We start from the raw sequence: 22,038 nt of genomic DNA on the forward strand, positions 1-22,038 counted from the left end.
CTGACCACCTGCACTGACCTGCAGGCCATAGGCAGAAAAATCAAAGTCAACATGAGCTTTGCAAGACTCGGCATCTCTGTCAGATTGTCTTGGCCAAGTATTTCTGTAACTTCCCACAAGAACCTTGAATCTTCTGATTAGAATCAGACTCCATCTCTCAGTTGAACAATGTACAAACAGAAGGAAAAACATCTACTCCATTAAGACACATGGTCACTGGTTTCACTTAGTCTGATGTAGTTTGGTCTGGTTAGGCAGAGGTGGGGCCTTCGCTGCTGTTTGCTGATTTCACCCTCACTTCTACGGCTCCTGTTTTAATCAGGTGTGGGCAACCGGCCTTAACCTCGCATATAGTGACCAGCTGGCCCTGACTCAACTCACCTTATACCTGACAAACGGCCATCTGGATTGCAGTTTGAGCACCCTGGAAGTGCCCCGCTTTGTTCCAAAGGAAAGGAAGAAAACCAAATGCATGAGTGCGCTGTCAATGCCGGTAAGCAAGAGGTGCTTCCTGAAGGTTCTCGGTGTTCAGCAACACCCACTGCCACTGCCTGAGCTCTGTCTAGGAGCCAGGATCTTTGAGTACAGGAAGAAGAAAGAGCCTAAGGCAAGTCATTGGACTTGTCTGAGCAGGGTCTGGAAATGCGAATGTGTTGGTCAGAGGAAAGGGAGAAGCCATTCCCGAATGAACCTGCCATCTGTGGAAATGCGAAAGAGCATGGGGCTCTCCTCCCCTTTTTCTAGGCAGGTACACCTACACCCATTGCCTCAACTACAAGCTGTTTCACACAAAACCCATATTTTTCTAGCCCCACTCTCTTTTGTGAGCTTCAGATTCATGGGTCCAAAATTCTATAGAACATCTCTGCTTCGAATCCTCAGAGTCAAGCTATCCAAAACTGCATCACATTTGTCTTTCTTCCTCCTGTACTTCCTGTTAGTGGATCAGGCCAGAGGCTGATAAGATAACCCCCAGCCCCACATCCAGTCAGCAAGCAGGGCGTGTTGAGTCTAGCTACGAAAATGCCACTAACCTGACCCCTCCTCTCTCTCCACAAAGATAGTGTCTTAGTGTCGGCTTCCACCATCTCACACCTGTATTCCTCCTAAGATTCCCTGTCCCTGCCTGTGCCCTCAGCCTAAACAGACACGGCAGCCAAGGTGGCAAGGTGAAAAGCCAGTCTGAGCATGTTGTTCCCCTGTGTGTGATTTTGAATGGACTCCTGTGATCTTCAGGAAAATCCCATTTCCCAGCTTGGTTAAGGAGCCCCATCATGTTCCACCTCTTCCCACAGCTGCCGCCTCCTCCCTTCTTATTGCTAGCTCCATCAGTGAGGGGGCTGGGGCCAGAGTCCTGGGGCTGGCTGCGGGTTACCAACCTCAGCACCCTGAGTAACAAAGGGCATAGCCCCATGGGGACAGTGGGTGCTTGATTGAGTAGGCTAGGTTGGTCATGGAGAGAGAGAACAAAGGCCAAGGGGACCAGATGCCCTTTGTGCAAGAGTGTATTGGGGACTCTCTGGCCACGGTGCTCTCACAGCTGCCAGAGGGTTTCTTTGGCCTTTCCTTACAACAGTGGGCTTCATACTTTTTTGCAAATGAAGCTCTACTTGAAATCCAAATATATCAAACAGATAAAAGAGGAACTCTAGTGATTAATGGGACCCAACATGAGTGTCCCAGAGATACCTTTTCCAAGCGGTCTCCTGCCTCTCTGTGAACCCCTTTGGGTCCAGTCTGGATTTGAATAACCTTTGACTCTTCCCAGGATCTCTGCAGTCACCATAAGGAGGGCACCTGATGTCTTGGGGGGCTCAGGCAGCTTTTTCCTTTCCCTCTTCTTCATCCAGTTGCCCAATCAGGTACCAGGAAGAACCTTGCTCACAAGAATCCCCTTGATCTCTTTCCTTAGTAAGAAGAGAAGCAGAGTTGAGCTGGAGAGGAGAAACAGACCTCTTTTAATTATGACCCAGGACCTTGCTAAGAGGCTTTCAGGTCCATCTCCACCTGTGGCCTCCATCCTCACCAAAGAGACCTGAGAGACCCTATGTTCAGTGCTAGAGGGAGAAACAGCAGTGACACTTGAGCCCTTCTGGCCAGTGAACCTAAGTCTATGCCATTTCTGCAAGAAGCTGGGGGTCAGGTGTGGTGGCTCACGCCTGTAATCCCAGCACTTTGGGAGGCCGAGGCGGGCAGATCATTTGAGCCTAGGAGTTCTAGACCAGCCTAGGCAACATGGCAAAACCCTGTCTCTACAAAAATACAAAAATTAGCCGGGCATGGTGGTGCATGCCTATAATCCTAGCTACTGGGAAGGCTGAGGCAGGAGGATCACTTGAGCCCTGGAGGTCGAGGCTGCAGTGAGTCATGATCGCGCCATTGTACTCCAGCCTAGTTGACAGAGTGAGACTCTGTCTCAAAAAATAAAAATAAAAATAAAGCTGGAAGCAGAGTGGTATTCAGCACAAGACTTCCAAAGACAATTGCAGCTTTGAAGTATGTTGCTTCAGAAGGCTATCAGCAGAAGTTGTGCTTTGAGTGAGAAGCACTCTTCCATTTTCCCCATGTTGCCTATAGGTTTCATTCCTAGCTATAGGCAACATTCTCCTGTGATCAAGTCTTAAACATTTTTAGGAAGTGCATGCACACAAAAGGGAGGCATTATGATCTTCAATAAGGCCAATACCTCTTAAATCACTAGAGAAAAGCTATGCAGGTTTTCTGGTGTAGGAATAAATTGAAAGGGCTTTTCATTTTAGAAAGATACAGATGTTCCCACCCTTGTGCCACTATGCTTGGGTTGTGCACACACCCTCCTGTGCATGTGTACACATATGATCAGCGATTTTTTTAAAAAGAAGCATGTGCACATGCACACGCGGTACAACTCACAAGCAAATCGAAGCTTCCTGAACAAGTGTGAACAGACTATGATGCCGTCAAGTTTATGATCAGGCAGTTGACAGCCCCCTTTGAAGACTGAAGGAGAAGAAAATGCACAGATGAAACCACAATGATAATGAGAGCGCATTCAAAACTAATGCCTATAAAATGCTTCCAGTGTGGGCCCTTTTCTTTAATAATATGCTATATAGAAGGAAAGCAAACACCTTCCTGGGCTCTCAGAAGAGCTGTTGTCTCATCTCAGAAACAGGTGGGAGAACTGTCACTCAGACCCATTTAGACCAGGTGAATGGGTTTCTGATTCACTGACCTCCACAAAGAACCACTTGAAGGTGTAAACAAGGCCTGATAAATCCCAGACGTGCGTGTTTTAGAAATGAAAAGGAATCGCCTAACAGTGTTTTAACTTTCAATTAATGTTCTGTCCAAACCGGCATCAATCATTACCCTTTTCTGTCAGTTTTTCACTCTTCCTCGCTCTTTCTGGACCCTCCATACCATGGTTGGTGAGTGTCCAAAAGGGAACATCTTTGCAAACATCTTAACACAACCCAAGTCATTTATACACATTTTAGCAGCACATGATCTGTAATGAATGATTAAGTAAAACCTTTTGTGTTAAATTATGATGTTAATAATGATTCTGTCTCCTGTAATTTATTATAAATTCTCAAATGCTTCGGGTTTGATTTTGATAGAATGCAACAACAGCAGAGTTTATGTGATGACTTTATTTTTAGAACTCCTTCTTTGAAGGCACACATTTCCCTGCTACTGCTGCTACTGTAATTATGTACAAAACCAATCACTCATTAGAGTTAGGATACATTATCTTCTAGACAGATGAGGCTAAATAAGCAACACATTAATAATTCAGAGAGCAGTTCATTATGCATGTGGATGCCTGCTTCGTAACTGAAATAAGAACCTCATCAGCCTCTGCCAACCCTTAAACAATAGTTCTGTGTTATTGCAGCCACATTCAAGTTTACGCTTGTTAAACTGCTACTTGGATTATTTTATCAAACATTCATTTATTTGTGGTCCCTTACTGCCGAGAACAGATTTTGGAAGCTCCTTTTTTAAGTTAATGATTTGAGCAATGGGTGTTATTAATTCTCAGAATATTATAAACATGATTAATTTTCAGGCAGAGATTTATTACATAAGGATTTCAACTATGTCAACTGAAATGCATCACTGTCAAAACAAGTATCATGGCGAAAATACAATATGTTCCACACTTCAAGTGCTGGAGCTCAGAACTAAATCAATTTAAATTGTGGCTGAAGCAAAATTATATTATCCAGTGAAAAGGAGTATTTTGAGCTTCCTTTATTTAGCTTGAAGCATTCTTGTTAAATTGTGATTTAGAAAGGTAGTTTAATAAGACTAGACTTCTACCAAGAATATTTTGTCTTTTTTTTTCTCCTGTTTTACTAGAAAAGGCTAACCTCTGAAATTCCCACCTATTCCAAATGTGGTCACTGGACATTTGGAGTGAAGAGTACTGGTCTGGGAGTTAGGGATCATGAGTTCTGATCTTCTCTTCTGGCCTCAGTTTCCTCATTTCTAAAATAAAGGAGGGCTACATGATCCCCAGGGTCACTTGGGGGATTTGATCTTACGGGGCCTACAGAAAGGGACTCTGCACCAAGCCTGGCCCAGGCAGCCTCATGTGTTGCGGATGGCTGAAGGAAGGGACATCTCCTGTACGGGGACACAGGAAGGGCCCATCCCTCTATACTACAGCCTTCGCTTAAAAGGTCTTTTTCTTGCAGGATCTTTTAGAAAGGAGTAATATTGTGACAGGTCATATCCTAAGTTCTCATCAGCCTTTACCTTAACCATCAGTTACTACTTTCAGCAAGAATCAACTAGAAGTAAATTCTGCAGATACTTACCCAATGCCTATTTTGTGCCAGGCACTCTACTAAGCACAGAGGATATAAGGGTGAGTAGCAAAGCCCTCCAGTTTACCAAAGGACACAGAGCCTTTACTCCACCCCGAGTACTTTACTAAGTGCTTTCCATGAATCTTTTTGCAGTCCAATATATTAGGCAGGTGCTGTTATTATGCCCATTTTTAGATAGGAAGACAAGGTTAAGAGATGTTAAGCAATTTGTTAAAGGTCAGTAGGCAAGCAAGTAGGGAAGCCAAGATTTAACCTCGGCCTGTGTTTAACTGTGACACATTCCAACCTGCCTTGCATCAGCTGAGAATCAGTGATCCAGCCCCAGAGTGGAGCTTGTGCTCATCCCTAAAGAAGTCCCTTGTTGAGGCCATAGAGAAAGCTCTTCTTTGAAAAGAGGATGTACTTCCCTGTGTGACGAGGTTGTCTCCAGGAATATTGCCATTATCCATTGGCTTCTCGTCTGCTCTGAGCTCAGCCTCAGCTTCTGAGTCTCACACAGAAGCACTAAATGGACCGGATGTTCATAGAGGAGTCTTAGGGTTTTTTTGTTTGTTTGTTTGTTTTGAGACGGAGTCTCGCTCTGTCGCCCAGGCTGGAGTGCAGTGGCACGATCTTGGCTCACTGCAAGTTCCGCCTCACAGGTTCACGCCCAGGTTCATACTCCTGCCTCAGCCTCCCGAGTAGCTGGGACTACAGGCGCCCGCGACCATGCCTGGCTAATTTTTTTGTATTTTTAGTAGAGACGGGGTTTCACCATGTTGACCAGGATGGTCTCGATCTCCTGACCTCATGATCCGCCCCCATCAGCCTCCCAAAGTGCTGGGATTACAGGCGTGAGCCACTGCGCCTGGCTGGAGTCTTAGATTTTAAAAAGAACATGTAACTGGACATGGTTTCCTATACATAGCACAGATTTCCAAGCAAATAACACGGCATGGAAAAGAGCATGTCACTTATACTATGAACCATCTAGAAAAGCTTGACTATGTTTTTTAAAAAATAAACAGTTCACACACTAAAAATATGCATGAAATATACATCTTCAACTCTTGTCTTCAAAATCAAGTTTAATGGGGTTCTCATTTAATTCTTTGAAATACATAATATATTCACATGGTTCAAAAGGCAAAAGGTGGAAACAGTCACACATGGACAAACCTCCTTTCCATTGATCAGTTCCCACCTCATCCTACAAAGGTAACCACCATTCTGTGTCTATATATCCTTTCAGAGCATCTTTTTACATATACAAGTAAATACACATACAGGTGATCCTTTTCCCCCTTTTATACCCAAAATGTAGCCTATAATACATATTGTTCTGAATCTCACTTTTTTCTTTGGAGAGCTTTCTCTAACACTTCATTAAAAATGTTCTCATTTCTTTTTTTTCAGATTCAGACACCTGAGCAGTATCATTTCTTTTTTACAGCAACATGTTATTTCATTGCATGGATGTGCCATAATTTATGTACCCTTCCCCCATCGGTAGATTTTTGGGTTGTTTTCAGTTTTTTCATATTACAGTGCTGCAATGAATAACTTTGTGTATATATCATTTGGCACATTTAAGGTATATCTTAGAATACATACCATAAAGTGGAATTTTGGCTCAAAGGACATAACCCATAAAAATTAAAATTTTTAATTTCAATAGATATTTCCAAATCATTATTTCTTTTTTGATCCTTATCAAACCTACATAAATTGTACAGCATCAGAAGAGACTAGTTTTTACAAGTCAACCTTTTAATAGAAAATAATGTTTTCTATTTGTATAATGCTTTATACTTTAACTATACATGAGCTTATTTGATCCCCATGATAACCCCAAGAAATCGATGTTAAGGATTATTATATACATTTTACAGAATAGGAAACTGAGGCTAAGCAAAGTTAAGTGAGCTGCCCAAGTCATAAAGGTGGTACATAGCAAAGCCCAGGTCTTCTGATTCAAGTCACCTTCTGATGAAAAGGTTTATTGGTTAGTTGGTCAGTTTTAATTTGAAATAATTGACCTTATCTTTGAAACTATTTAGTTTAATATGTGAAAATAATTGCTAACATTTATTGAGAGCTTACTGTGTGCCAGACACTATTCCAAGGTCTTTACATTCTCATCTAATCCTCCTCTCAATACTCCTATGCTATTCACTTGTGCTATCAGGCTGGACATAAGACAATCCTAGGTGATTGATAGTTTCTTCCTGTAGAAACTGTGCAGTTGGCTAGGTCTTCTAAAAAGTAGTTGTATCTTGTAAGTATTATTCTAATGCATTTATTTAGCACTTAATATGTGCCAGGACTTTCACCAAGCATCAGGAGACAAAGATAATTGACAAAGTCCCTATCCTTGAGGAGCTGAAAAGAAAGGCCATAGAGAGAGAGAGATGTTGCTATTAAAATAGATAACATACACATGGATAAATGCCATTTGAGTGACAGACCCTCAGCTTGCTGCCAGAGTTCTCAGGGGAAATGACCATGGACTGACAGGGACAGGGAACACTTTAATGAAAACACAGAACTTTATCCTGCCTTAAAGACTAGAACAGTCACTAACTGGCGAGGAGGGGAGGACGTCCCCTAGCAGATGGGACAGAGTCCAAAGAAACCTGTGGTCTGCTAGGAAAAGGCAGTGAACCAGTCAGACTGGAGCACAGAACTGGGGAAGTGGGAAGCAGGAGAAGTAGTTGGAAGGGTGCACTGAGCAAGTTTGGGGAGGTCTACCCACCACACCAGGGTCTAGATTTCACCGTGAAGGCAAAAAGGCCTGAATATTTCTGAATAGGAGGATGACACAGACCAACCTGTGTTAGGGGGAAATGATTAATCCGGTGATACTGTTCAGAATCCCAGGAGATGGGGGAAGAGTAGGGGAAAAAACAGCCTGGGAAGTTACATTTATTGTAGATCCAAAATCCTTTCAAAGGAATGACAACAAAAATAGTAGCTACCATTTATCAGGTTCCAGGCACTGCAGTAGGTGCTTATTTAATCATCAGAAGACAGAATTTCAATGATCTGTTCAAGATCACATACACAGTAAGTGGCCTTGTCAGGTTCTGAACTTCTTTCTCACTCCATATAACCTTTCCACTGCAGAATTCTGCTTGTATCCTCACCTCTGACTCTCCAGGCAATAAAGGTCTGGACTAGGATGGTGATGGTTATGGAAAAGAAGGTTGGGAGACATGTACCAAATATCCTGGCTCTTCCTTCAGATTCTTTATGCATCACAAACCCCAGTCTGGGAGGAAGGGGAGTTGCACTCTGCATCTGTAGTGAAGAAGAAACCTCAGGGTAGCCTGCCCTTACATGTTGTCTAGTAATCATGTACTACTGGACAGTAAGCTCTTCTGCTGTGCTTTGGAGCCAAGATACATAGTATTGCTAGATTGTGCTACCACATGCCTGCCTGCCTACCTCTCTTGCTGGCTGGGGTCTGGTCTTGGTTTTTCTTGTTTATATACTATGGCAGCATCAGACAAGTTTAGAAGACAAAAATAACCTTGGAATTATCTTGTGAATTCATGGCAATTACCATGCAATTACATGCTCAGTAACCACAATGGAATTTGAGAGTGTTTACAGTTCACTTCCATGTGCAAAAGCCCATGCTTCTGGGCTTTTCAGTGTGAAGGTGAGAGCATGGCCAGCCCAGTATGGCAGGGCGAGCAGGCCTTGTGGCCATGCCCTTCCAGACAGACTAGCTAGCTGGGCCAGAACTTCTCCAAGCCAGTTCTTTTTACCCCACCAATTATTCCTGCTTAGTCCACCAGAGCCATGCTGTCCTCCAGCAGGCAAGGCCCGGAGCAACTGCCCTGAGTTGTCCTTCTCTAAGGATGGTGTGACTGTCCCCTGTGCCATGTAATAATCACCTGCTTTTGCTCCAAAGCATTTATCAATGGGCAGTGTCTTTCTTAAATTACATACTTTGAAGAGTCTCTTAAGTCAGAGGGAAGAGCTATCCACCTAATCTATTTCATGTATTCATTCTCTTTTATTTAATAAACACCAAGTGCCTGTTCTGTGCTGGTATCATGCCCAAACTGGAGATTCAGAAACCAAACAGCGCCTGCCCTCAGAAAACTCCCAGTCATGGAGGGCAGATGACCAAGGGAACAACTCATGATAGGTCAGGGTGACAGAGTACAGTAGTGAGGCATATGAGGATCAAATCAATTTTCTGTTGTTAGAAAAATCCCAATGGCTACAAATGGGACGCTACAAGTGGGGTAAACAACTCAAGATGTATTAGCCTGTGGGGGCCTAACTCGTCTGTAGATGTGGACTCCACTTGCATTTAGGATGAGCAGCCTTAACTGGTGGCACTGATGATGTGACCTTCGGACACAGGACTTGATGTAAATGTTGAAGAAAAACATGCTCCCCCCATCATGTGTGAGGGGAGCATGTCACCAAAAGTGCCACGAAATCTGAGTGTGTGTGTGTGTGTGTGTGTGTGTGTGTGTGTGTGGAGAGGGAGAGAGGGATGCAGGAGAGGAAAGGAGGTCTATTCTCTGCAGAGCACTCAGTCAGCCCCAGTTCCCTTGCGTTATCTCAGAGACAGGAGGCGAGCCAGAGGCCTGATTATAATGCATGTCAGGTCACTACGATTCCTTACGGCCAGCTCCAGACCAGCAGCACCTCCTTTGCCTACTCCTTTTCCAGGTCACTGCATAAGTCTGGGTACCTAGTTGCCCAGCACCTGTGCGTCACCACAGTTCAAGAGCCAAGCCAGGCACCTTTATCTTCTATGCCCTAAGGTTGGCCATGGCCCTATATGCAGTTCTCCAAATTTCCAGCTATCTAGAGAAAAACAGCTGATTGACTAAGGCAAATATCACATCTCAAAAAGAACATGCTATAAAACTGCCAGGATCCAGTTCTTTATCTGGTACATATTAAATTTTAAATGTTTTCAGGAAATACATAATGACAGCACTTTGGGCCTACTATCACCAATCTCTTTGGCATGGCTTTCACTGATAGACAAGCAAGATAAAGAAGAGCCGTTTCCCCAAAGAAAGCAGCATCAAATTTCTAATGTTGGCCACCTCAAGGAGGTGGTCCATGCCCAGTGACTTGCTGCCAAAGGTTAAAGTATGGGAAGAGTGGGAAAATATCTTTACAGCAGAGAAATCTGTAAAGTTTTTTCACAAGCTTCAAAAGCCACTGTAGCCAGGTGATAAAGGTTAACATCATCAGTGATAAGTCACACTGATACCATCTATCTACCCTTGATATGAAGTGAGGAAAATGGCAGTTTGCCCACGTGGTCTTCCTCTCAAAAACACATTACTACAGTCTAATCAGGAGAAAAACATCAGACAAACTGAAATTGAGAGAGATTTCACAAAATGCTTGCCCATTACTCCTCGGAACTGTTAAGATCATCAAACCACAGGGAAAGTCTGTGAAGCCGTCACAGGCCAGAGAAGCCTAAGGAGATATGACAGCTAGTTACGGTGCAGTGTCTCAGATGGGGTCCTGAAACAGAAAAAAGGAATTAGGGAAAAACTAATGAAATAGAAATAAAGTATGGATTTATGTTAATAGTAATGTAGGGCCAGGTGTGGTGGCTCACGCCGGTAATTCCAGCATTTTGGGAGGCCGAGGCTGGCAGATCGCTTGAGCTAGGAGTTCAAGACCAGCCTGGGCAACATAGTGAGACCCCTGTCTCTACAAAAAAATAATAAAGTTAACCAGGTGTGGTGGCATGCACCTGTAGTCCCAGCTACTTGGGAGGCTGAAGCAGGAGGATCACTTAAGCCCAGGAGGCAGAGGTTGCAGTGAGCCCAGATTGTGCCACTGCACTCCAGCCTGGGTGACAAAGTGAGACCCTGTCTCAAAAAATAAAATAAAAATAAAAAGTAATGTAGCAATTTGTTCCCTTAGTTGTGACAAATGTACCACAGCAATGTAAGATGTTAACAATAGGAGAACTGGGTGTGGGGGATATAGGAACTCTCAGAATTATCTTCGCAATTTTCCTGTTAATCTCAAGTATTCCAAAATTACAAGTTTATTTAAATATCTGTTTAATATTCAGTTGTGCTCCTTTCCAGATGCTGGCAACCAGTCGCTATGCAGTGATGACCACCCAGCTAAGACACAGCAATCTCTCACTGGTTTTCCACTATGTTTTTCTCCAGATCTGTAGGGCCCATGGCATTGGCTATGATGTTGAGGTATGAAGGGTTACAGTTGGCCAGGGGCGGCCAAAGACATGCCTGTGGGTGATCTAGGTAGCTAATAATTTGGTGCCCCTTCAGATAGATATTCTTTAAATACCGGTTTGACGTGTCTGTAGAGGAAGGCTGATTGCTGCTTGGGGAAGAGCAGATACGCAACTCCACAGAAAGTAGCACATAGTCCTGGAAAGTTCTACTTCGTCTCCAATCTTACACACCCACTTTGCTAAAGCAGAAGCCATGCAAGCTCTCCAGACTTAGGAGGCATTTTGGGGACCACCTCATGATCCTGAAGCAGGCCCTGAGCTTCCTGATCCCACCCAAAGCTGCTTATCAATGAATAGCTTCTGTCTTAGTCTGCTGGGGCTGCCATAACAATATAGCACAAGCTAAATGGCTTGAGCCACAGAAGCGTATTTTCTCACTGTCTGGCAGCTGGTACATCCAAGGACAAGGCACTAGCAGATTTGGTTCCTGGTGAGGGCCTGCTTCCTGGCTTGTAAATGGCTGCCTCCTTGCGGTGTCCTCACATATGGAAGGAGAGAGAGAGAGATCTCTGTTGTCTCTTTTACAAGGTACCAGTTCCGTCAATCAAAGCATCACACCTACAGCCTCATTTAACCTTAATCACTTCCTTAGAGGCCCTAGCTCCAATACAGTCACTTGGAAGGTCAGGACACAATTCAGTCCATAGCATCCTCCTACTGATATTTGATAATTTATTTCTGAAGGGAGTTCTGATAAAAACCATTTTCTCTACTTTTGGTCTATTTCCAATGATACCGGGGGCCCCTGCATAGCTGCTTTATCCTGATGTAGCTGACTAGAGGCAAGTGCAATGCAACGTCTCCTGCCAAAAATAGAACCTCTGTTTTATGCCTAGAGACTCATGTTACTCCAGAAAAATAGTTTCATGTTTTTCTACTTTGATTCAGATTTTCAAGTCTCTCACACGCAGGGCCATTCTAAGACCCTGAGTAACCCTGTACACTCTTACTTATGGAAGACCCACTTTACAGCACCTCAAACATCTTAAAATATATTCATCTCCCACATTAAATATAAGGTATATATAATGACATAAGAATTGAGTAGTAACCAGTTGATCAGATGTTTTGATTTGTAGATATTCAGTTCTACATTTATTAACTTATATTCTTTATACTTGAGACCAGTACAATTTTCAAGGATCAAATTTTATACATTCTATTTTCTTTTTCTTCTTTTTTTTTTTTTTTTTTTTTTTTTGAGACAGAGTCTCATTCTGTCACCAGGCTGGAGTGCAGTGGTGCAATCTTGGCTCATTGCAACCTCCGCCTCCTGGGTTCAAGTGATTCTCCTGCCTCAGCCTCCCGAGTAGCTGCGATTACGGGCACGTGCAACCATGCCTGGCTAATTTTTGTATTTTTAGTAGAGACAGGGTTTCACCATGTTGGCCAGGATGGTCTTGATCTCGACCTCATGATCCGCCCGCCTCGGCTTCCCAAAGTATTGGGATTACAGGCATGAGCCACCGCGCCCAGCCCCAAATTTTATACGTTCTTAAAAAGCATGCAGACCTTCAGCACGAGGCCAAATGAATAGAATGGTCTGGCTGACACTTGGCAATCCCCAGCAGGCTGCCAGGCACTGTCAGGGCACATGAGACTCTTTGGTTAGATGAATTCGTGCTGTTTGCAGACACATAAAGTGGAGCTTGGATCCCCTTGCAAATTACATTAAAATTGATAAAGAGAGAATGAAGAAGCCAGATTGAACTGATTTACCTGAAATTAATTGTTGCATCTGCTACACACAATCCCTTTGGAATTAAATAGATTTTAACCCCAAACTGATGAGATAAAACACTTCCACATTCCAGAAAGTGGCTAAATCTAACTCTAGGTTTATCTGAATTTATTTATTTTATTTTATTCTAAAATATCAAAGTAGAACAACTCTGTAAAAAGGCATATTTGGCAGGGACAGTCTCCTGCCCTTCCCCCCACACAAAAGTGCTTCATTACTTTCTATTGCCTGAAATTATTATTAGAGATTTATTTCTTGGGCTTAAGACTTTGTATTTGACTGAAGTTCAAGTACCCTTGGGGTAAGTAAAGCACCAAACTTTATAAGTTATTTACTCCTTTGTCTCTGAGTTGATCGGATCTATTTCCAAGAGCAGATTTTATAGGGGAAACAGATGGCTAACGCCGAGGGAAGCAGGTGGATGGCGCAGAGGAGAAGGTTCTACTGAGGGTCAGGGAGCTCACTGAAGACAGCTACAGAAAAGGCAGACAGAGGCTGGGCACGGTGGCTCATGCCTGTAATCCCAGCACTTTGGGAGGCCGAGGTGGGTGGATCACCTGAGGTCAGGAGTTCGAGTCCAGCCTGGCCAACATGGTGAAACTCCGTCTCTACTGAAAATACAAAAATTAGCTGGGCGTGGTGGCATGCACCTATAATCCCAGCTACTCAGGAGGCTGAGGCAGAAGAATCGCTTGAACCTAGGAGGCAGAGGTTGCAGTGAGTCAAGATCGTGCCACTGCACTCCAGCCTGGGCCACAGAGCGAGACTCTGTCTCAAAAAAAGAAAAGGCAGACAGAGGGGCACCGAAGACACTTCCAGCAGAGTTCCATAGACTCACCTCCAGGCCATCCATGCACAACTTAAAAAAAGATGAAAGATAAAATGAGAGAGAAGAAGAAATATAGATTGGGGCAACAGATGATGAAACAATGCAAAGAAGAAAAAGATAAGAGAAGAGAGAGGAGAAAATCCAGAGACTGAGAGAATCCACTAAAAGAGGAGGAGGGGATAATCAGAAAGAAAAGGAACAGATAGGCTGGGCACGGTGGCTCATGCCTGTAATCCCAGCACTTTGGGAGGCCAGGGCGGGCAGATCACGAGGTCAGGAGATCGAGACCATCCTGGCCAACATGGTGAAACCCCGTCTGTACTAAAAATACAAAAATTAGCTGGGTGTGTTGGCAGGCGCCTGTAATCCTAGCTACTCGGGAGGCTGAGGCAGGAGAATGGCTTGAACCCAAGAGGCAGAGGTTGCAGTGAGCCGAGATTGCGCCACTGCACTCCAGCCTGGTGACAGAGCAAGACTCTGTCTCAAAAAAAAAAGAAAGAAATGAAAAAAGAAAAGGCGCAGATAATAAACAGAAGTACAAGAAAAGAGGGAAGAAGTTGAGTCACAAAAATTCTCCAGCAGTATCCTTGCTTTATTTTTCCTGAGATGAGTTTTCATCTTTTCAGACCCTGGTGTCCATCCCTGGTCAGGACTCTTCACTTGCTGTCTTAATTGCCTTTTCTTGGATGGGAGGTTGGTAAGTGGTGAACCAGCATTTATGGAGTGCCTACTGCGTACTGGCCTCTGAGCTGAGCACTTTACTTCATTATCTCATTTATTCTTCATGCCTGTCCTATAAGAAGGTGTTATTTCTACCATATTACAGTGAGGACTTTAGGCTTAAAGATTTTAAGCATTTTCCCAGGGTCATACAGCCAGGAATTTTGTGGAACTGACATTTGAACCCGTAATTGTCTACAAAGTCAAGCATGATTCTTCGTCTTACACAAGGTGTCCCCTATATAAGCCCTTTTCCCCCTAAGGACTGTTTCCCACCAACTGTCTCTATTTCTAAAATATTACCAACCCAGTCAAGAAGAATTCTGGAATCCATTTCCAATATATCCCCTCTAGGTACCTCTTATGTATTCTTCAGCTGGAGAAACACAGACTTCTTTTCATAGCCCCTATGACTATCTCTACATTAAAAAGGAGAAAAAAAAGTTTAACAATTAATTTCCCTAAAATTTTATTGCCTGTTTGGGTTATGCTGAGTCTAAAAACAAGATCATTTACCTAAATTCCAGAGTAACCTGCTCCCACTCTTGGTTGAATTTAACATGGGTGCTCGTTCCAGAAAAAGAAAGCAACATTAATAACACATCATTGTCAGTGCTACCAAAAGAAGAATCCTCAAAAGTCCTTATTCTCAGCACTGTTTTCCCATTATGATCACAGACTTTTCAAATGATGTTCTTGTCCAAAGTCCCAGGGGGAAAAAAGGGAAATGAGATCACTCTATGAGTTTATTTTTCCTTGACACATATGGGAAGGGAGCATTGCTGAGTTTGTAAGCAACTTGGTGGGTCTCATTCCGGGTATTTCTCTAATGCTACAGAATACCCCCACTGACTTCCTAATGAAATGAAGTTGTAATGAAAGCCATATGGAGAAAGGCGTCATGTTTACTGCCTGCACCAGTGTGGGGCAGGGCTAGTGTCACACATACATAGGCAATGTGCCACCATCCTAAATAGCTCCACAGTCACCAGCAATCATTTCCTCTGGCCAGGGTATTGCCATGGTGGGAATCATCTGAGCTGCTCACAAATATTCTGATTCTCCTCCTTCCAGGCACATAACGAAACTGTATTTCCTCAGCCCTCCTCCTGAAGTTGGGCATGGCCACATAACTTGCTTTGGCCAGTGAAATATAAGCAGAGGTAATACGTGTCCTTGTTATGCAGAAGCCTGTAGGAGCCACTTCCTGAGTTGCCATATCCTTTTTCCTGCCTTAGAAATCATGGAAACACATTGAGACAGAGCCTCCTTCAGCCTGGGTCCCTGCGTGTACTCACAGTGATCAAAGACCCATACCAACTCATGTGGGAAATGGAGCAGGACCAAGAACTGCAACTTTCATTGTTAGAAACAACCAGTAATTTTGTTGAATTACTGCAACATAACCCAGCCTAATCAGGTTATACTGAAATTAGTATCAAAAGAAGATGCTCCTAAAACAGAAACCTAAAATTTTGGTACTGGCTTGGTAGTCAGGCAATGAGTGGCTGGGAAACTATTAACGGAAAGCAGAAGGATGACAATTCATGAAGTGAATTTATGAAATTATGAAGTGAAATTATGAAGTGGTGAAATATTTGGCAAAACTAATACCTGCAATTACTTGGAAGGCAAATAATATACCTAATGTACCTACAGCTCTAGGAGAAACAGTTGGAAATTTTAGTGTTAATGGTGTATATTAGGCATTGCCGACTGCATTTGGCAAGGTATTATACAAAAAATATGAGCTTCTGAATGAATCAGACATCTTGCAAGCAGAAAGGAAAGGGAATAGAGAGATCTCAGAAATTTGGCACTTTGCAAAATGGGAAAAGCTGAACTGATTTTAAACCTCAAAAATGAGACTTTTAAAAATTGAAGAGGCATTTATTTACACAACCAAAGCCAATTAAAACTCAGCCTTGCAATATGAGTCAAATTAAATGTATGACTATAACCTACTATTAAAACCTCTGAATTAAAGTATCTCAGAGTATGAATCCAACAAAGATTATGGCATCCAGTACTGTATTAGTCTGTTCTCATGCTGCTATAAAGAAATACCCAAGACTGGGTAATTTATAAAAGAAAGAGGTTTAATTGACTCCCAGTTCTGCATGCCTGGGGAGGTCTCAGGAAACTTACAATCATGGCGAAAGGGGAAGCAAACACATTCTTCTTCACAAAATGGCAGGAGAGAGAAGTGCCGAGCAAAGGGGGAACATCCCCTTATAAAATCATCAGATTGAGTGAGAACTCACTCACTATCATGAGAACAGTGTAAGGGTAACCACCCCCATGGTTCAGTTACCTCCCACTGCGTTCCTCCCATGACACGTGGGGATTATGAGAACTACATTAAAAATAAAATTTGGGTGGGGACACAGCCAAACCATATCAAGTACATATTTGCATTCAGAGAGACTCTCTCAGGAAAAAGAGAACAGAACAAAAGGGTAAAAAGAAAAAGGGTATAGCTCTCCTACTGAAGCCTCATAGGCTTAAGATAACTGAAATTAAGAGAGAGGCATAGAAGCAAGAAAGCAAAGAAATATAGAAAATTTAAGAAGTATCTAGAAAAGAACTCCATGTTGTAGCTATTGCTACTTGTAGCTGATTGAAATCAAACAGATTAGAAACCAACTAAGTTCTTGAAAGAACTCAACATCAAGAGAAATCTCAGTCTGGATTAAAAGAGACTGTTGCTGCTTAAGACTTAAAACAACCCTTGGGCCCTCAACTATCTACAGGCAGGAAGTGGGTGAGAAAGTTTTAAAATTGCTAAGGATGGCTTGTGCCTGTAATCCTAGCTGCTCACGAGGTTGAGGCAGGAGGACCGCTCACTTGAGGCCAGGAGTTCAAGACCAGCCTGGGCAACATGGCAAGATCCCATCTCTTAAAAAATTGCTGAGGAAAATATAATCTCTAATATCCACTTCAGATGTGGCCCAAGGACAATTATGGAAAAGAAATAAAATCTCAGAAGGCAGAGTCAAGGACCACAAAGAATAGCGTCTATGCTCATGAAGCAATTGGGATCAGAACTAATCAAGGAACATTTCCCACCAAAGGATAGGGGCCCTGGAAATGTCTGCCCAGTGGGATTTCAGAATTACTACAAAGCCCTGTCTTCTGTTTCTCTCTCATTGTTTCTCTTTCCAAATGGAAGTATTTATTGCAGTTACCCAGTCCTGTTCCACCAGTTTTTGAATAGTGAGGACTGAATAGATAATTTTGTTTTTTTTCTTTATAGTTCATGGCTTTTCAGATCAAGAGAGCCAGACCTGATCTAGAAGATATCATGGATCACCCATAGTTATTTCTATTTGATAGCATTTTATACCTTGTTAAATATTTTCACACATTTTGTTTCATTCTTGCAATAACTTTGAAAGGTAGACATTTTCATTCTGATATTGTAAATGAGGAAGCTGAGACTTAAAATGTTAAATCACTTTGCAAGTTTACTAGCAAAAAAGTTATTTATTATGGTGCTTTCTAATAACTAGCTTGAAAAGAATTTTACACAGAAGTAAAATTTTAAATATCGTCGAGTGGGGAGAAAGATGGATAAACACGAACAAAAAGATCTATAACCTAAGATGCTACGTGGGAAACGGGCCTGAGTAGGGCAGTAATGGGGAATCTGATAGCCAGGGAGTAACACATGAGCATATTGTCAAGGGAGATTCTGGGGTACATAAGTAGACTGCAGTTGCCTGGGGAAAATGTTGTTAACATTGAGGTTTACTTTGGTGAGCTGCCTAAGGGTAGACTCTTACATCTCTCACATATAAAATAAAATACGGAATTGTTTTATGGGATAAGAAAAAACAGCTTTGTGTAAGCCTTTCATTTCTGTTGTTTCCTCTGGATAAGGGCTAAGAACACTCCTGGTCACCTTTCTTAGAAAGTTATAAATGTCCTGCCAAACCTAGACATTCTGACCATGACAAGGTAGCTTGTAACCAACTAACTGTCACTAAAAATGATTATAAAGGCTGGTTTGAGATATATATAAAACAACTGCTTGAAGGCATTGAAGGGCAACTAAAACAGTCCTTAAAAGAACAGAAGGGCCAGGCACAGTGGCTCACGCCTGTAATCCCAACACTTTGGGAGGTTGAGGTGGATCACTTGAGGCCAGGAGTTTGAGACCACCCTAACCAACATAGCGAAACCCCATCTCTACTAAAAATACAAAAATTATCTGGGCGTGATGGCCCATCCCTGTAATCCCAGATACTCTGGTGGCTGAGGCACAAGAATCATTTGAACCCAGAAGTTGGAGGTTGCAGTGAGCCAAGATCGCGCTACTGCGCTCCAGCCTGGGTGAGAAAGCAAGACTCCATCTCTAAAAAAATTAAAGAAAGAAAGAACAGAAGCATCTAAGGTGAGTGTCATATTCCCCCAAGTTTTAAAGGACATTTACAAATGTGTTAGGAAATAAATCTAAACAGATTTTTTTCTTGACCTCATGACCTTGATCTCTTGACCTCGTGATCCGCCCGCCTCGGCCTCCCAAAGTGCTGGGAGGCAACAAAGCCTGGAGTTCAAAACTGTCAAACTGTTTGAGACTTGAGATCCAAAATCCTAGAACAAGGGTGATCAAAGGGAAGTGAGCCCCAAAAATTTGTGTGTGGATGCCGTTTAAATCCCTAATTGACTCATACCTGGTGGAATGAACAGCTTAAGACTCCAAGAAATCCAGAGGAAAAATATAACAGTAGCTGGGAGGCTAAAGATCTGGCAGATATTTCAAAAGTCACATAATCTTAGGAGTTCATGTCCTGCTAAATTGAAAGGGTACTAATAAACACCTCAAGCTTCCAGTGGAGACTTCAAAAGGACCAAACTCTAGGAGTAAGGACACTTCCCTAGGAGAAAAAACTAAACACAAAGCATGAAGGAAAACCTTTAAATAGACCAGGTCCAGCAACAGCTAAAATCAACTCTTAGTCCAGGCATAGTGGTTTATGCCTGTAATCCCAGGCATGGGATTGGGAGGCTGAGGTAGGTAGATTACTTGAGCCCAGGAGTTCGAGACCAGCCCGGGCAACATGGCAAAACCCTGTCTCCACAAAAAATACAAAAATTAGCAGGGCACGGTGGCACACACCTGTAGTCTTGACTACTTGGAAGGCTGAGGTGGGAGAATCTCTTAGGCCTGGGAAGTCGAGGCTACAGTGAGCTGTGATCATGCCACTGCATCCCAGCCTGGGCAACAGAGTGAGACCCAGTCTCAAAAAAAAAAAACTTTTAAATACAAAAATAAAATAAAATCAGGGGCTGGGCGCTGTGGCTCATCCCTGTAATCCCAGCACTTTGGGAGGCCAAGGCAGGTGAATCACAAGGTCAGGAGTTTGAGACCAGCCTGGTTAGCATGGTGAAACCCTGTCTCTACTAAAAATACAAAAAAAAAAAAAAAAAATAGCTAGGGATGGTGGTGCGCACCTGTAGTCCCAGCTACTTGGGAGGCTGAGGTAGGAGAATTGCTTGAACTCAGCAGGCGGAGGTTGCAGTGAGCCGAGATCATGCCATTGCACTCCAGCCTGGGTGACAGAGTGAGACTCCATCTCAAAAAAAAAAATTAATAAAATAAAATAAAATCAACCCTTGATATATCAAGATGAGCTGTCAGTACTCTACTGGTCTGCCAAAAACAAAAATTTAACCCTCTTTGAAGGAAGATATTATCTAGAGCTGCTACAATTTTCCATCTTTAATGACCATCATCCAATTAAAAAAAGGTATACTAAAAGAAGGACCAAATCATTGAAAACAAAGGGGAAAAAAAGAAAAAGATCCACAGGTGATTCATATATTGGAGTTATGAGACAGGGACTCATAACTCCACCGATCCCAGCCACTCTTCAACATAATCTATGAAAGCTAGAAGACAATGGGAACATAATTTTAAAGTATTGAAAGAAAAGTCTCTGCCTACCAAGCATTCTATTTCCAGCAGGAATAGAGTTTAAAGACAGGGACTTTAAAATAGCTAGGACTAATATGTTCAAGAAAACATATATGTTTGTAATATGTTCATGTCACCAAAGACCTAGAATCAGTTTTTTAACCCAAATGGAAATTCTGGAACCAAAAATTAGTGTGACAAAATAAATAATTTAATATATGAATTTAATAGGTTATCAGAACAAATGACTAGCGAACTAGAAAACAAGCCAGTAGAAAAAAATTCCAACTTACACACAGAGGGAGAAAATGATGAAAATGTAGAAAAAGTCTTCAGAGATACATGCAACATGGAGGAAACAATCTAACTTTCCTGCAATTAGTGTCCCACAAGGAGAAGAGGGAGTGATTTTAAATAAATACTGGCTGAGAATTTCCTACAACTAGTGAAAGACATCACAAACACATATCCAACCTCATTCAAAAGCACTAAAAACCTCAGGCAAGATAAATATAAGGAAAATCACACCTGGGAACATCATGATTTTGCTCCTGAAAATTGAAGAGCAATAGAAAATCTTTTTTTTTATTTTTATTTTTGAGATGGAGTCTCACTCTGTCACCAGGCTGGAGTTCAGTGGCGTGATCTTGGCTCACTGCAACCTCCGCCTTCCGGGTTCAAGCAGTTCTCCTGCCTCAGCTTCCTGAGTAGCTGGGACTACAGGCACGCGCCACCATGCCCAGCTAGTTTTTGTATTTTTGGTAGAATTGGGGTTTCACCGTGTTGGTCAGGATGGTCTCGATCTCTTTACCTCATGATCGGCCCGCCTCAGCCTCCCAAAGTGCTGGGATTACAGGCATGAGCCACTGCGCCCGACCAAGAAACAGAAAATCTTAAAAGTAGCTAGAAAAAAAATTACTTTACCTTCAAATGAGCAATAAGACTGCTAGCTAAGTTTTCTTTTTTTTTTTTTTTTTTTTGAGATAGAGTCTTGCACTATCTCCCGGGCTGGCGTGATCTCGGCTCACTGCAACCTCCATCTGCCAAGTTCAAGCAATTCTCCTACCTCAGCCTCCTGAGTAGCTGGGACTACAGGTGCGTGCCACCATGCCTGGCTAATTTTTTTTCTTTTTGTATTTTTAATAGAGACAGCATTTCACCATGCTGGCCAGGCTGGTCTCAAACTCCTGACCTCATGATCCGCCCGCCTCGGCCTCCCAAAGTGCTGGGATTACAGGCGTGAGCCACCTATCCTGGCCACTTTTCAACATAATCTATGAAAGCTAGAAGACAATGGGAACATAATTTTAAAGTATTGAAAGGAAAGTCTCTGCCAACCAAGCATTCTATTCCTAGCAGGAAAAAAAAAATCCAATAAATATCCCACATATCCCTGGATATGAAACCTCTGTGAACTTGTTCTGCATATGGGGAGTTGATGCCCGATCATTACTAATGCTCCTTCTCAATATGGAACTATTTTTAAAAGGGGGATATAAAATTATGAAATGGGAACCACTTACTAGAAAGGATTTGTTATATTTGTGTTAACCATAGGTCCCTAGAATAGCACTGTCCAATAGAAATATAATGAAAACCACTAATGTAAACCACAGAGATAATTCAAAATTTTCTTGGAGCAACGTTTTTTAAAAGTAAAAGAAATAGGTGAGGTTAATTTTTAAAATATATTTTATTTAATCCAGTATATTGAAAATATTGTCATTTCAGCATGTAATCAGTATGAAAATTATTGAGATAGTC

At 42.4% G+C, this 22,038-nt stretch overlaps 1 protein-coding gene and 1 long non-coding RNA gene across 12 annotated transcripts in view; one reads left to right on the forward strand and one right to left on the reverse strand.

Annotated features, from left to right (window-relative positions):
- IQCH (IQ motif containing H) overlaps positions 1-22,038 on the forward strand; it is a 247,019-nt gene that overhangs the window by 210,019 nt on the left and 14,962 nt on the right. For 4 of the 10 annotated variants that reach the window (NM_001031715.3, NM_001322475.2, NM_001284348.2 and 1 more), the window contains 2 exons: positions 323-493; positions 10,892-11,014. The exons of 1 other annotated variant lie outside the window; for it this stretch is intronic. In NM_001031715.3, the coding sequence (NP_001026885.2) occupies positions 323-493; positions 10,892-11,014 (294 nt within the window). Of the gene's footprint in view, positions 1-322; positions 494-10,891; positions 11,015-14,260; positions 14,332-22,038 lie in introns of all 10 variants that reach the window. 5 more of the 10 variants (NM_001322470.2, NM_001322473.2, NM_001322474.2 and 2 more) reach the window with 2 other exon arrangements.
- IQCH-AS1 (IQCH antisense RNA 1) overlaps positions 1-22,038 on the reverse strand; it is a 118,234-nt gene that overhangs the window by 61,194 nt on the left and 35,002 nt on the right. The window contains exon 3 of one of the 2 annotated variants that reach the window (NR_040051.1): positions 1,690-1,934. This is a non-coding gene — a long non-coding RNA (IQCH antisense RNA 1). The remainder of the gene's footprint in view (positions 1-1,689; positions 1,935-22,038) is intronic. The other variant, NR_040052.1, reaches the window with a different exon arrangement.

This window comes from Homo sapiens, chromosome 15 (assembly GCF_000001405.40).
Source record: "Homo sapiens chromosome 15, GRCh38.p14 Primary Assembly".
NCBI classification, from domain to species: domain Eukaryota; kingdom Metazoa; phylum Chordata; class Mammalia; order Primates; family Hominidae; genus Homo; species Homo sapiens.